The sequence below is a fragment of the Homo sapiens genome, chromosome 9 (genome assembly GCF_000001405.40).
Source record: "Homo sapiens chromosome 9, GRCh38.p14 Primary Assembly".
Taxonomy (NCBI): Eukaryota; Metazoa; Chordata; class Mammalia; order Primates; family Hominidae; genus Homo; species Homo sapiens.
In genome coordinates, this window is record NC_000009.12 from 120,778,078 (window position 1) to 120,791,217 (window position 13,140).

General features: G+C 40.2%; 1 protein-coding gene across 14 annotated transcripts in view; it reads right to left on the minus strand.

Annotated features, from left to right (window-relative positions):
* The window catches only part of FBXW2 (F-box and WD repeat domain containing 2), a 36,443-nt gene that overhangs the window by 21,104 nt on the left and 2,199 nt on the right, over window positions 1-13,140 (minus strand). For 6 of the 14 annotated variants that reach the window (NM_001375888.1, XM_006717049.4, NM_012164.4 and 3 more), the window contains 2 exons: window positions 9,692-10,201; window positions 274-468 (listed from right to left, as the gene is read on the minus strand). In NM_001375888.1, the coding sequence (NP_001362817.1) occupies window positions 274-468; window positions 9,692-10,181 (685 nt within the window). In that variant the 5' untranslated portion in view covers window positions 10,182-10,201. The remainder of the gene's footprint in view (window positions 1-273; window positions 469-9,691; window positions 10,202-13,140) is intronic. The other 8 variants (NM_001375889.1, XM_047423214.1, XM_047423215.1 and 5 more) reach the window with 3 other exon arrangements.

A 13,140-nucleotide genomic window follows, 5' to 3' on the forward strand; every position in this document is an offset into this window, starting at 1 on the left:
AGAGAATGAGAGAGAGAGAGAGAAACAGAGAGAGAATGAAAACTACCCTTCCCACCAGAAGGGTACACACATAGAAGAAAGCAAGAAAAAGCAAAACTGGGTAAAACATTCGAAATAAGAGTAACTAGAATAAAGGGAAATAACTGCAATGACTAAGAAAGAGGGTTGAAAAAAGCAGGTTAAATTAAAAAAAAAAAAGCATTTCACATTCTTGGCTCCTGGCTTAAAAGGATGAGGCTAAGTTGTAAAAACCCTTGAAAAAGGGCAACCCACCCGCCCCCGTGTGCCCCCGAAAGTGCTGGGTCCTGGCTCCGGAACTCCATTCCCAGCAAGCCACAGTGTTGTCAAAGGAGCCTGTCACAAGCTTCTGTTCATCAAACTTCACCGCTGCACAAGTGTGGGTCTGGATGCCATAAACGCACTGCCCTGTGCTCACATCCCACAGCTTTGCAGACAAGTCATCTGACCCTTCAAGAGAAAAACAGGGAGGTTAATAAGAAAACAAACACACTAAAGAAGGAAAATCAATCCCAAAATCATGGTGTTCTTCAAGAACATTAACGGTCCCTTCCTCTAGCACTTTACTTTACCACTGAAGAAATCAAAGCACGGAGAGAGTAACACAACTTGCTTAGAGTCACCAAAACGGAGTCAAAAGCACTAGGACAGAATCCAAGCTTTTTGGGTGAGACACTTTCCCTTAACTTTTCAGGCTACAGAAGGTCATTAGACTAAAAGCATCCCTTGGTGCTTCCACTTGAAAAATTTCATAAATCCTTGGCTATCACGAGCTCTCTGATTTGACTTCAAATAAATAGGTATTACACATGACTGCATGTTTACACTTGCATGCTTGTCCATTACCCAACAGTTCTGAACAAATAAGGATTGTTAAATAGTAAAGGTGTTTGCTGAAATATATTCCACTCTAAGGCAAGTCAAGGACAAACCTCAGAGCCTGGGCTAACTTCTGCAAAAGCTAACTGCTAATTGCTCCAGTCATCTTGAAATACGTGAAGGAAGAAACCTCAAGGAAAACCTGGGATAAATTATCCCCAGATATTCACAACTCAACAAAAAGTTTGTAAAGCCTCTTAAGATTCTGAAGGGAAAAGTTGGCTTTATTTCTGCCTCTGATGAAAATTCTATACTAATCATGGTGACAATTCAGGACTTTGCTTTAAGTTTAAAATCCTAATGATTAATTCATTCTTACAATGACCCTTCAATAAGCCTCAACAAATAAAAAGACATTTTTGAGAATCCACTAAATACAGTCACTATGATAATGGCACAGTATCCTAGGAAAGCACCAAATGACCAGTTTTTAAAAAGCTGAAATGACTAAAGCCAGCCACAATTCTACCTTCAGTCAAGAACCACTGTTTGAGACAATGGAAAAATAGCCATCACTTATGAAAGAGCTAGAGTATGAATTTTAACCTGGGAAAACTATGATAGCATACTGAAATAAAGACTGTATTTATTGTCACTTTGCTATTTAGACTGTTTCCTTCTGTATAAAAAGAGGGGTAGGACTTGGTTGGTTCTCAATGGCCATGTGATACAACTTTATCAAAACACACAGGCAGGTCCCTATTTTCAGAGAGTTTAACTTGGGGAACATCTGAGGCAGGGTCCAATAATCTTAAAAGTTTGCCAGGTGATTCTAACTCATCAGCAATATTTTGAGAGCCAATGGTCTAGAACGGTGCTATCCAACAGAAAATATAATGCAAACTGCAGATATAATTTAAAATGTCCTAATAGTTACATTAAAAAAGAAATGTTGGGCCGGGCGCAGTGGCTCATGCCTGTAATCTCAGCACTTTAGGAGGCCAAGGCAGGCATATTGCCTGAGCTCAGGAGTTCAAGACCATCGCGAAACCCTGTCTCTACTAAAATAAAAAAAATCAGCCGGGCATGATGGCGCGCCTATATTCCCAGCTACTCGGAAGGCTGAGGCATGAGAATCGCTTGAGCTGGGGAGGCAGAGGTTGCAATGAGCTGAGATCACGCCACTGCATTCCAGCTTGGACTACAGAGGGCCTCCACCTCAAAGAAAAAAAAAAAAAAAAGAAATGTTAGCCAACATGGTGAAACCCTGTCTCCACTAAAAAAAATACAAAAATTAGCCAGGCATGATGGCGTACGCCTGTAGTCCCAGCTACTCAGGAGGCTGAGGCAGGAGAATCACTTGAACCCGGGAGGAGGTTGTAGTGAGCCAAGATCACACCACTGCACTCCAGCCTGGGCAACAGAGGAAGACTCTGTTTCAAAAAAAAAAAAAAAAGAAAATGTGTTAAAATAATTAAATGTGTTTAACTCAGTATGTCAAAAATGTCATTTGAACATGTAATCAATACAAATATTGAGATATTTTATATTCTTTTACATTGTATGTCTTTGAAACCCAGTATTTCACACCTCCATTTGGACTAGCCACAGCTCAAGTACTCAAAAACCACATGGCGCTAGTGGCTACTGTACCGGAGAGCGTAAGCCTAGATAGTCTTTAAGGCCTTCAGTTCAGGCATGTTGTGACTGTATTCCTAAGGAGCTAGAGTAGGAAAGGAAATCATTTTAGGTCCTTTATGAGCTTGGTTTTGGTTACCAGTGTTCAACTGGGGTCTCATTCATTCATTCAACATATATTTATAGAACTTCTGTGTCAGGCAGGATTCTTGTTCTCATGGCACTCAGTCTACTTGGGAAGACAAAAAGGCTAAACAAGCAATAATAATTCAGTATAGTAGCTGGCAGGCACTACAAAAGCCCATAGCAAATACAAGGAGAGGACAAGAAGAGAAAACATCTCAGACGAGGCTCCACTGAATTTATGACCATGCTCTATAACACGTGCCTTAGGAACTGGCATGATTGGTTCTTCAACTACACTCCTCTTTTGTTTTTAAGCTGGGCTTTGGTATAGGACTGTTTCAAGAAAGAATATCATGGCAAAAAAAAAAAAACCTTTAAGTTTTAACTAATTTAAACCTAAGGATGAATAAGTTAGCCAGGCCAAAACAAAACAAAAGGAATAGTATATACCAAAACTTTTTCTGTAAAGGGCCTGATAGTAAGTATTTTAGACGTTGACCTATTGAGTTGCAATTACTCTCTTCTGCTGGATTTGGCCCACAGTCCACAGTTTGCCAATCCCTGGTATATACCTATTAAAGCAACTATTAAATATCTCTATATGCAACACAAAAATTATTGAAAAGGAACTGGGATCAAGTCATAAAGAACTATTTGGAATCATTCAAAAAACCGTCTAGGAGTTATTTACAATGCTTGTCAAAAGCACTGCCTAAAACATGAACACTGATTATGAAAACAGTTCAGTCTGACTGCGAAATAGTGGCAAGGTTTGGCTGCAGAACTGGGTTAGGAGGTTGTTTAACTATGACCTTATTTGCATATCAGAAAGATCACTATGGCTATATCATGGAAAAAGGTTTGAAGGGGGGAAAACTAGAGGCAAGAAGGCAGTTAAAAACCAGGGGAGAGGACAAACAAAATGTGACACATACATGGAATATATTTTATATACATACACACACACACACACACACACACACACACACACACACACATACACACACACACATATATACATACATGGAATGGAGTTATTCAGCCTTAAAAAGGAATAAAATTGGCCGGGTGTGGTGGCTCACACCTGTAATCCCAACACTTTGGGAGGCCGAGGCGGGAGGATCACCTGAGGTCAGGAGTTTGAGACCTGCCTTACCAACGTGGAGAAATCCCATCTCTAATAAAAATACAAAAATTAGCCAGGCGTGGTGGCGCACGCCTGTAATCCCAGCTACTTGGGAGGCTAAGACAGAAGAATTGCTTGAACCCGGGAGGCGGAGGTTGCGGTGAGCCAAGATGGCGCCACTGCACTCCAGCCTGGGCAACAAGTGCAAAACTCCGTCTCAAAAAAAAAAAAAAAAGAATAAAATTCTGAGATGTTATGATATGGAAGAACCTTGAAGACATCATGCTAAGTGAACTAAGCCAGCCACAAAAGAACAAATACTGTATGATTCCACTTATATTAGGTTCCTAGAGTAGTCAAATTCATAGAAAGTAGAATGGTGGGCCAGGCATGGTGGCTCATGCCTGTAATCCCAGAACTTTGGGAGGCCGAGGCTGGTTCACCTGAGGTCAGGAGTTTGAGACCAGCCTGGCCAACACGTTGAAACCCCGTCTGTACTAAAAATACAAAAATTAGCCAGACACGGTGGCGCATGCCTGTAATCCCAGCTACTCGGGAGGCTGAGGCAGGATAATCGCTTGAACCTGGGAGGTGAGGTTGCAGTGAGCCAAAATTGAGCCACTGCACTCCAGCCTGGGCACCAAATTGAGACTCTGTCTCAAAAAAAAAAATAAAACAAGCAAGCAAGCAGAATGGTTGTTTTGCCACAGGCTGTGGGGGAAGGGGCATGGGCAATGTTTAACTGACAGGGTTTAGGCTGGACATGGTGGCTCATGCCTGTAATCCCAACACTTCAGGAAGCTGAGGCAAGAAGAGTGCTTAAGCCCAGGAGTTAGAGATCATCCTGGGAAACATGGTGAGACCCCATCTCCATAAAAAATACAAAAATTAGCTGGGCATGGTGGCACACACACGTAGTCCCAGCTACTTGGGAGGCCAAAGTGGAAGAATCGCTTGAGTCCAGGAGGTAGAAGTTACAGTGAGCCAAGATCATGTCACTGTACTCCAACCACTCCAACCTGGGCTACAGAGTGAGACCTTATCTCAAAAGAAAACCCCCCCAAAAACAAACAAAAAAATTGGATACAGTTTAACTATATAGTGTATTATATACTGTTTATACAGTTAACACTGTATAGTGTTTAACTGATACCATTTTAGTTTGGGAAGATGTAAAGTTCTGGAAATGGATAGTGGTGATGACTGCACAACAACGTAATGTACTTAATGGCACTCAACTGTATGCTTTAAAATGATTAAAATGGTAAATTTTATGTTATGTATGTTTTCGCACAATTTGCAAAAAAAAAGGTTATCCAAACTAATTATTTAAACTAGTTTTTATAGGAAAACATTGTGCCAGTTTTACACCCTAAAAAAAAATAATAATAATCAGGTTGAGTCGAGTTCCATTTATAGTGATGCAAGTCTACTCCTGAGAATCCTTTAGGAATCACTGTTCTCTGCTCCTTTCTGGCTTTATGTCAGCCTCCCCTCTGGACTCCCATTTGCTGCACTGGCTAACCCAACATGTTTTCAAAGAGGTCACCAGTGATGCAGCATAGAGGTGAAAGAGGACTAAAGAAATGTGGACTCTCACACTGCACGAAAGAAAAAAATCCCTCCCCATTCAGTATCTTAAAAATCTTAATAATACTTTAAAAAAAATCAGACTATTGCACAGAACTCTAGATTTCAGGCTTCTCTTGAAGTCAGATCTAACAACTCTGACCCTGAATCCCACCCACATGGCAATAATTTATTACAATGGAGCACCAGCTGCACTCTTTAGAAAGGCAAGTGTTCTTGATTTGCTATAGTCCACACAGAGACTTTTACCTCAGTCAGGTCATCTTCCTGGTCCCAGTGTGTATGTTCCACAAGAAAAAACTGCTCTAATTCATCCGTGTATGCCCTCACATTGTTTTTCAAACAGTAGGCATCCCATAAGTAAATATCTACTGAACAGCACAAAGCATAATAGATTCCTTTCTTACCATTTCAGAAATAAATTGCGAAAGAGAAAGATAACTACCTCAATGTCATTAGCCATTAATCTCTTCAATAAAACTGTCTATTGCTTACTCAAGGCACTAATGTGAGAGTCACTAAGTTTATTGCCAAATTCAGGGTTTCCCAATTCCACCACAATGAGAATTCAATCTCTTAAGTAACAAGATGACACAAACACATGTACAATTCTGTCACAAATACCTCTCTTCACAGTTCCAGGGATGCTGCTGTTAGAAAAATTAAACTAATACTTTGGATCATTTTCAACCACTGCACAGCGTAATTTTAAATATGCAAACCTGATGAATTTAATCAGAATAAAAATCACATTAACATACAGACCCACCAAGAGAATAATCTTAAAATGTAGAATTGTAGATATTAACTTTCCAGGTAGTTAGAGAATTCAGTGAATATTTCCCATTTACTTCCACTCCAAGTAACTGCAGTTTTTACTACATTTCAAAAATAAGGTTTGATGAGAGAAGAAAAAAACTTTTTAAAGCAAGAGGACCTAGGCATAGTGGCTCACACCAGTAATCCTAGCATTTTGGGAGGCTGAGACGGGCGGAGTGCTTGAGCCCAGGAGTTCGAGACCAGCCTGGGCAACATGGTGAAATCCTGTCTCTACAAAAAATACAAAAAGGATCCAGGCATAGGGTTGCTCGCTTGTAGTCCCAGCTAAACCCGGGAGGCTGACATGGGAGGATCACCTGAGCCCAGGAGGTGGAGGTTGAAGAAAGCCAAGATCACATCATTGCACTCCAGGATGGAGCTACCCAGTGAGAGGTTGTCTCCAAAAAAGAAAAAAAAAAAATGCGGCTGGGTGCAGTGCCTCACACCTGTAATCCCAGCACTTTGGGAGGCCGAGGCAGGCAGATCATCTGAGATCAGGAGTTTGAGACCAGCCTGACCAACATGGTGAAACCCCTTCTCTACTAAAAATACAAAAATTAGCCGGGCTGTGGTGGCGCGTGCCTGTAATGCCAGCTACTGAGGAAGCTGAGGCGAGAGAATCGCTTGAACCCAGGAGGAGGAGGTTGCAGTGAGCCGAGACTGCGCCACTGCACTCTAGCCCGGGTGACAGAGGAGCTCCTGTTTCAAAAAAAAAAAAAAAAATGCTACAGGTGGTTGTGAAAAAATGGTCAACTGCCAGTAGGAGCTCCAAGCTCCAAGATGATACTGCATCTTAATATTTTTTTTTTTTTTGAGACAGGGTTTTGCTGTGTTGCCCAGGCTGGAGTGCAGTGGCACAATCTTAGCTCACTGCAACCTCCACCTCCTGGGCTCAAGCGATCCTCTCACCTCAGTCTCCCAAGTAGTTGGGACCACAGGTGTGAGCCAGCACACCCAGCTGTTTTTTTATTTTTTTGTAGAGATGGGATTTTGCTATGTTGCCCAGGCTGGTCTCAAAACTCCTGGGCTCACATAATCTGCCTGCCTTGGCCTCCCAAAGTGTTGGGACTACAGGCATGAGCCCCCTCATTTGGTCAACTGCATCTTAATCTTTTAAAATCATGAGGCAAAAGAGACATGGAAAAGCCATCACCACAACAGAGAAAGTACATCAAAGCCTAGAAGAACTGGTGATGTTGTTCTAGTAATCAGGCTTGTAACACAAGGAAAATAAAGTGTGAAATAACTTCAGGATGACAAACCAAACCATGAAATGCTTTAAATCAAATGTTTATTTTCCAAAACCAGCAGAGTGTCTAGCATTTCAGAGAAAATATCACCACATAATACATACCCTTAATGAATAAAGAAATGCATTGTAAAACGGTCTTGAGAAATGATACATCTCAACATTAAAAATATTTAAATTGAGTCTGGTGAGACTCCTGAGGGAGAAGCAAGTTACTTAACACTATATTGGTATGGCATCAATTCAATCTATCTGGAAAGGGCACTAAGAAGAGCTATAAAATTGGGCCGGGCACGGTGGCTCACGCCTGTAATCCCAACACTTTGGAGGGTGGATCACCTGAGGTCAGGAGTTTGAGACCAGCCTGGGCAACAAGGTGAAACTCCGCCTCTACTAAAAATACAAAAAAAATTAGCCGGGTGTGGTGGCGCACACCTGTAATCCCAGCTACTCGGGAGGCTGAGGCAGGAGACTCGAACCCTGGAGGCAGAGGTTGCAGTGAGCCGAGATTGCACCACTGCACTCCAACCTGGGTGACAGAGTGAGACTCCATCTCAAAAAAAAAAAAAAAAAAAAAAAAAGAGCTATAAAATAATTCATACTTCTGTATCTGGTGATTCTACTTTTAGACTTCTATCCCAAATGAATTCAAGGGAAAAAGAGGTAATACAAAGACACTAATAAAAACAGAAACAATCTGAATATGCATTGATATGGTTAAGCTTTGTGTCCTCACCCAAACCTCATCCTGAACTGTAATCCCCAGGTATTGAGGGACAGACTTGGTGGGAGGTGACTGGATCATGGGGGTGGCCCCCCATGCTGTTCTCATGATAGTGAGTGAGTTCTCTCCAGACCTGATGGTTTTATAAGGGCCTCTTCCTGCTTCACTCACACTCTCTCTCTCCTGCTGCCTTGTGAACAAGGTGCTTGCTTCCCCTTCGCCTTCCGCCATGATCATATTGCCTTCTGACATGATTGTAAGTTTCCTGAGGCCTCCCCAGCCATGTGGAACTAGGAGTCAATTAAACCTCTTTTCTTCATAAATTACCCGGTCTTAGGCAGTTTTTTTAGCAGTCTGAGAATGGACTAATATATGCATTAATATGGAAATGGCTAAATAATGACTATTGATATATTTACAAAAAGGAACAGTTTATACCGTAATACACAAATGTTTATTGGAAGTTATCTTGGATGAAAAAGAACACCAAGTATTTCTATATATTATATACAATGTAAGGAAACAGGCATTGGGATTATTAGCAAGAACTGCCTGGAGTTATTCTAAATGCTGCCTAAGAATTATTTACATTGCCTGTCAAAATGTATTATCTAACACATGGGCATTAGTTATAATCATATACAGAAACACACGTCCATTACAAATGGAAAATAACATATAATTTTAAATTTTTAATAATTATATTGTTTCATAAAATTACTTAATTGCCTAGTTAAAAAATATCCAGCTCTCTCTGTTCCCAGGCCCAAACTCCAACTTCTACTTCTTCTACTTAGAATCACAGGATTTCAGAGCAAGGAAGAAATATCTCCTTTCATATATACATATATATTTATTTTGAGATGGAGTCTCACTCTGTCACCCAGGCTGGAGTGCAGTGGCACCATCTCAGCTCACTGGAACCTCCGCCTCCCGGGTTCAAGCGATTCTCCTGTTTCAGCCTCCCGAGTAGCTGGGATTATAGGCGCATGCCGCCACGCCCGGCTACTTTTTCGTATTTCAGTAGAGACGGGATTTCACCATGTTGACCAGTCTGGTCTCGAACTCCTGAGCTCAGGCAATCCACCCGCCTCGGCTTCCCAAAGTGCTAGAATTACAGGCATGAGCCACTGCGCCCGACCTCCTTTCCCATATTTTAAAGATACAGAGAGGTTAAGTAATTTGGCCATAATGATCTAACTACTTGCTAGGATTAGATACCAATTTTTCCACTGTTTTTTTCCTCAAATATCAGTGCCAACAGAAAAAGAAACAGAATTTAGCAACAGAGGACTACACATGGAGGAAACACAAAGAAAAAGTAATCTATAGCTTTGTAATTCACATAATGTTTAAAAGACAGTCTGAAGTGTTTTTCTCATAAAATTTTATAAAAATGATTGTGTTCTCTAGAGAGAAGGAAGAGGATAAGGGGGGGGAACCACTCAGGATTAGAGAAAAAAAGTCACTGTACATATCTCATATAATCAACACTTGTCATTCTCAAAGCTCAAGACTGGTTCAAGATTACACCCTATGAAATACAAAACAAAACCCAAAAAGCAGTTTCAACATCTCTTACCTGTACAGAGAAGTCCATCTTTGTAGTAAAGTGCATACACTCTGGCACTGTGTCCAATTAATGACGAGGTTTCAAAGGCTTCATGGTCCTCCAGTTGCTTCATTCTCAAAATAGCCTTCAAATAAACCTTCTTCCAGTGCAAAGCGTCCTGAACAGAATCATCTATCTGCCAGCCCAAATTTTTACATGCAGTCTGCCACACCTCTGTACAGGCACTTATCACCTTATTCCACTGTTTAGAGACGAGGCAGCATGTGAGTAAAGTCTGAGGATCGAGCCATTTTAACAAATAAAAACTGAGCTCCAGGGGAAGGAGTTTGAGGAAGTCCCGCTTGAGGAGAGTCTCTAGGTTATTGGAGAGATGCCTGAGCTGGACTGCCCCACTCAGACTAATCAGGTGATCCAGAGTTTCATTTTTCTGCAAGTCCGTCAGAGAAAGAAATGTAACAGAAATGTTATCAAGCCATGTCTCAAAGTCCTTTCTCTCCATAAGGTTATGGAAAAATTTACCTGTGGCACATCAAAATATTGTATTAGTTCTGCTCAAAAAGACTGTTCAAGCAAGACTGCTAACAAATGAAGTATTAAAAATTAGTGTAAAAAATCTGCCATTACAACTTTATGCGTAGTTACATTACAACTTTACAGTTAATACACCATATTTATCTGAACACTTTCCATGCACACAAAAGAAAACACATTTGAGAAAACATACTTTAACAAATCATGAATCCAAAACATGTCAGTGAAACAGACTGGCGTGTGTGACTTATTCCTCTTGAAGTCTAGCACGTGCTACATGCATCTTCATAGTAATAGATTTACCAACAATTCATTATAAAACAGTATATTTTACAATACACCCTTCCCCCATCAAAACCATTATAAAACAATTTCCTTAATGAATTCCTTAATACATTCTATTTGGGTACTAAAATCACAAAAGCAAGCACCAGGATGTGACAATCAGAAACAGTCTCCTGAGCAGTAACCTGAGACACTGATTGTCATGGCAGGCACAACCTGTCACCAAAATCATAGAACTGACTACTTGGTTTTGCAACAGATGTTCAGATGAAAAGGTTTAGGGAAGAAAAGCAGGTGTGGTAAGTTATCTGCCTCAGGAATTCTGGTTCTTCCAACTTCTTTATGGCACTGCCTGTTTAGAACATGAATTATAAAAGAACTTATGTGGCTTTAGTCTGTTTTTCTAAACCTCATATGAGCTAGTGACAACTCTTAACCACGTGCCCCCGAGAGCCATGAGGGGTCCTGGAGGCCTGCACAAATAAAGCAAATTAATAATCCTGATGTTTATAAAACACCAGAAAATAGACATTATCATCTTCACTTTGCAAATGAGGAAACTACAGGTTAGAGAAGGTATGTGATTTGCCTATATTCACAGGGCTACTAAATAGCCACAGAACAGACTGGACGCCAGTGCTCTCAAGATCAGGTACCAAGCTCTCTCTCTAAAATAAGTGACAACCAGGAGAACCACGACCAAGTGGTAAGATCTGGAGGTAGTGTGTCTACCCGTTAGACCATTTTCTCCTTTAGGAGAATGACAAATTGCTCCTGAGCTAACTGTAACAAATAATTTTTTTTAAAGTATCCTGTATTAGTGTCAACAGGTGTTAATTCACTCTTAATGAGGATTAGACTAATGAAAGATTACAAAAAATATAACCAGTAAAAACTATCTTTCTCAAGACTATGTGTTGATAGATGTTAATGCTGGGTGATGTGTACATAGGGATTTATTATTCTCTTTATTTCCATATATTTAAATATTTCCATGGTTTAATAAAAACTTTCCTTCTGAATACTCAGTTTCTCACAAGACTGTCATATTAATTTTAAAAACATATGTCCAAATTAATGTGAAAAAGGAAAGTTAATTTCTTTCCAGACATATCACCTAGATCAGGTCTACACAAAAAGCAAGATCTCATCTTTCAACTTTGATAATGTAAGGTGAGTAAAATTGTAAGTGTCCAATATCAAATTTGGCAATAACATTCTTAGACAAATAAGCAATCTGATTTATTAGTAGAAGCAACCAAACCTTGCAATCACATCATCTGCTAACAGTTTTGATTTCTGGAACTGTGACTAGACTTCAAGATAATACGTTTCAAGCCAAAGTTTGGGCTAGAGAAGATTTATTAATCTGTATTAAAAATTTACCTAGCTGACAAAAAATAATCAGATGGCTAAAAGTTTTATCGACTTATCACGCAATAACAAGCCCCCTCCTTCCTCTAAATCCTAACAACCCTCTTATCTATACAACATTTCTTCAAAATCTCTACTTCTAAAAAATAATAATTTGCAACAAGACAAAGCAATTATCTTCTGTGGGCATCTGCATATTGTCACAATAGCTAGTTAATTAATACTGGTCAATTAAAAACACACACCAGGCTGGGCACAGTGGCTCACGCCTGTAATCACAGCACTTTGTGAGACTGAGGTGGGCTCGGCCGGATCACGAGGTCAGGAGATCGAGATCATCCTGGCTAACACAGTGAAACCCCATCTCTACTAAAAATACAAAAAATTCCCCTGGCATGGTGGTGGGTGCCTGTAGTCCCAGCTAGTCGGGAGGCTGAGGCAGGAGAATGGCGTGAACCCAGGAGGCGGAGCTTGCAGTGAGCCGAGATCACGCCACTGCACTCCAGCCGGGGCGAGAGAGCAAGACTCCATCTCAAAAAAGAAAAAAAAGAAAAAAAACCACACACCTGCTCCTGAAACATTTTTAACAGTGAAAAGTGTGGTGTGGCAAGCTTCCTCCATCACATCTACACATACATATATACACACATACATACACATGCTGACACACATCTATTGTAGAAATGCTTGTATTTAAGTGAGCTGAACTGTTATTCAAACGGCTACAAGGCAAATTTAGAATACTCATTAAAATATTATCAGGTTCCCATCATTCACAAATATCTAAGAGACATACTATAATATGCCAAATTCACATGTATACCTATGTAACAAACCTGCACGTTGTGCACATGTACCCTAGAACTTAAATTTAAAAAAAAAATGCCAAATTAATGTGCCCATGACACCGCTAAAGATTACGGAAGAAGCTTTTTCAGAGAGCACATCTAAAAAAATTCAGCCATGTCTCAGATTTATATATTCTCCTAACTCTTAATAAAAAAAATTTTCCCAACTCTTAGATTGCCTTTTAAACCACTCAATCCCTTGTAAGATTGAGCAGTTCACCTCTGATTATTCTGAAAAAGGCATTTTTTTCCCTAAAAAAGCAAGTCTCACTAACTGCAGAATGCACTATTTAAAAAACACCAATTTTTACTTTTCTGAACAGATCAACTAACTTTGGAGGGGGCCTTCTAAGGTAACAGGTCTAAACTGGACTCTTTTAGGCAGCCTCTAGAAATATCATACACTGGTTGCACAAACCT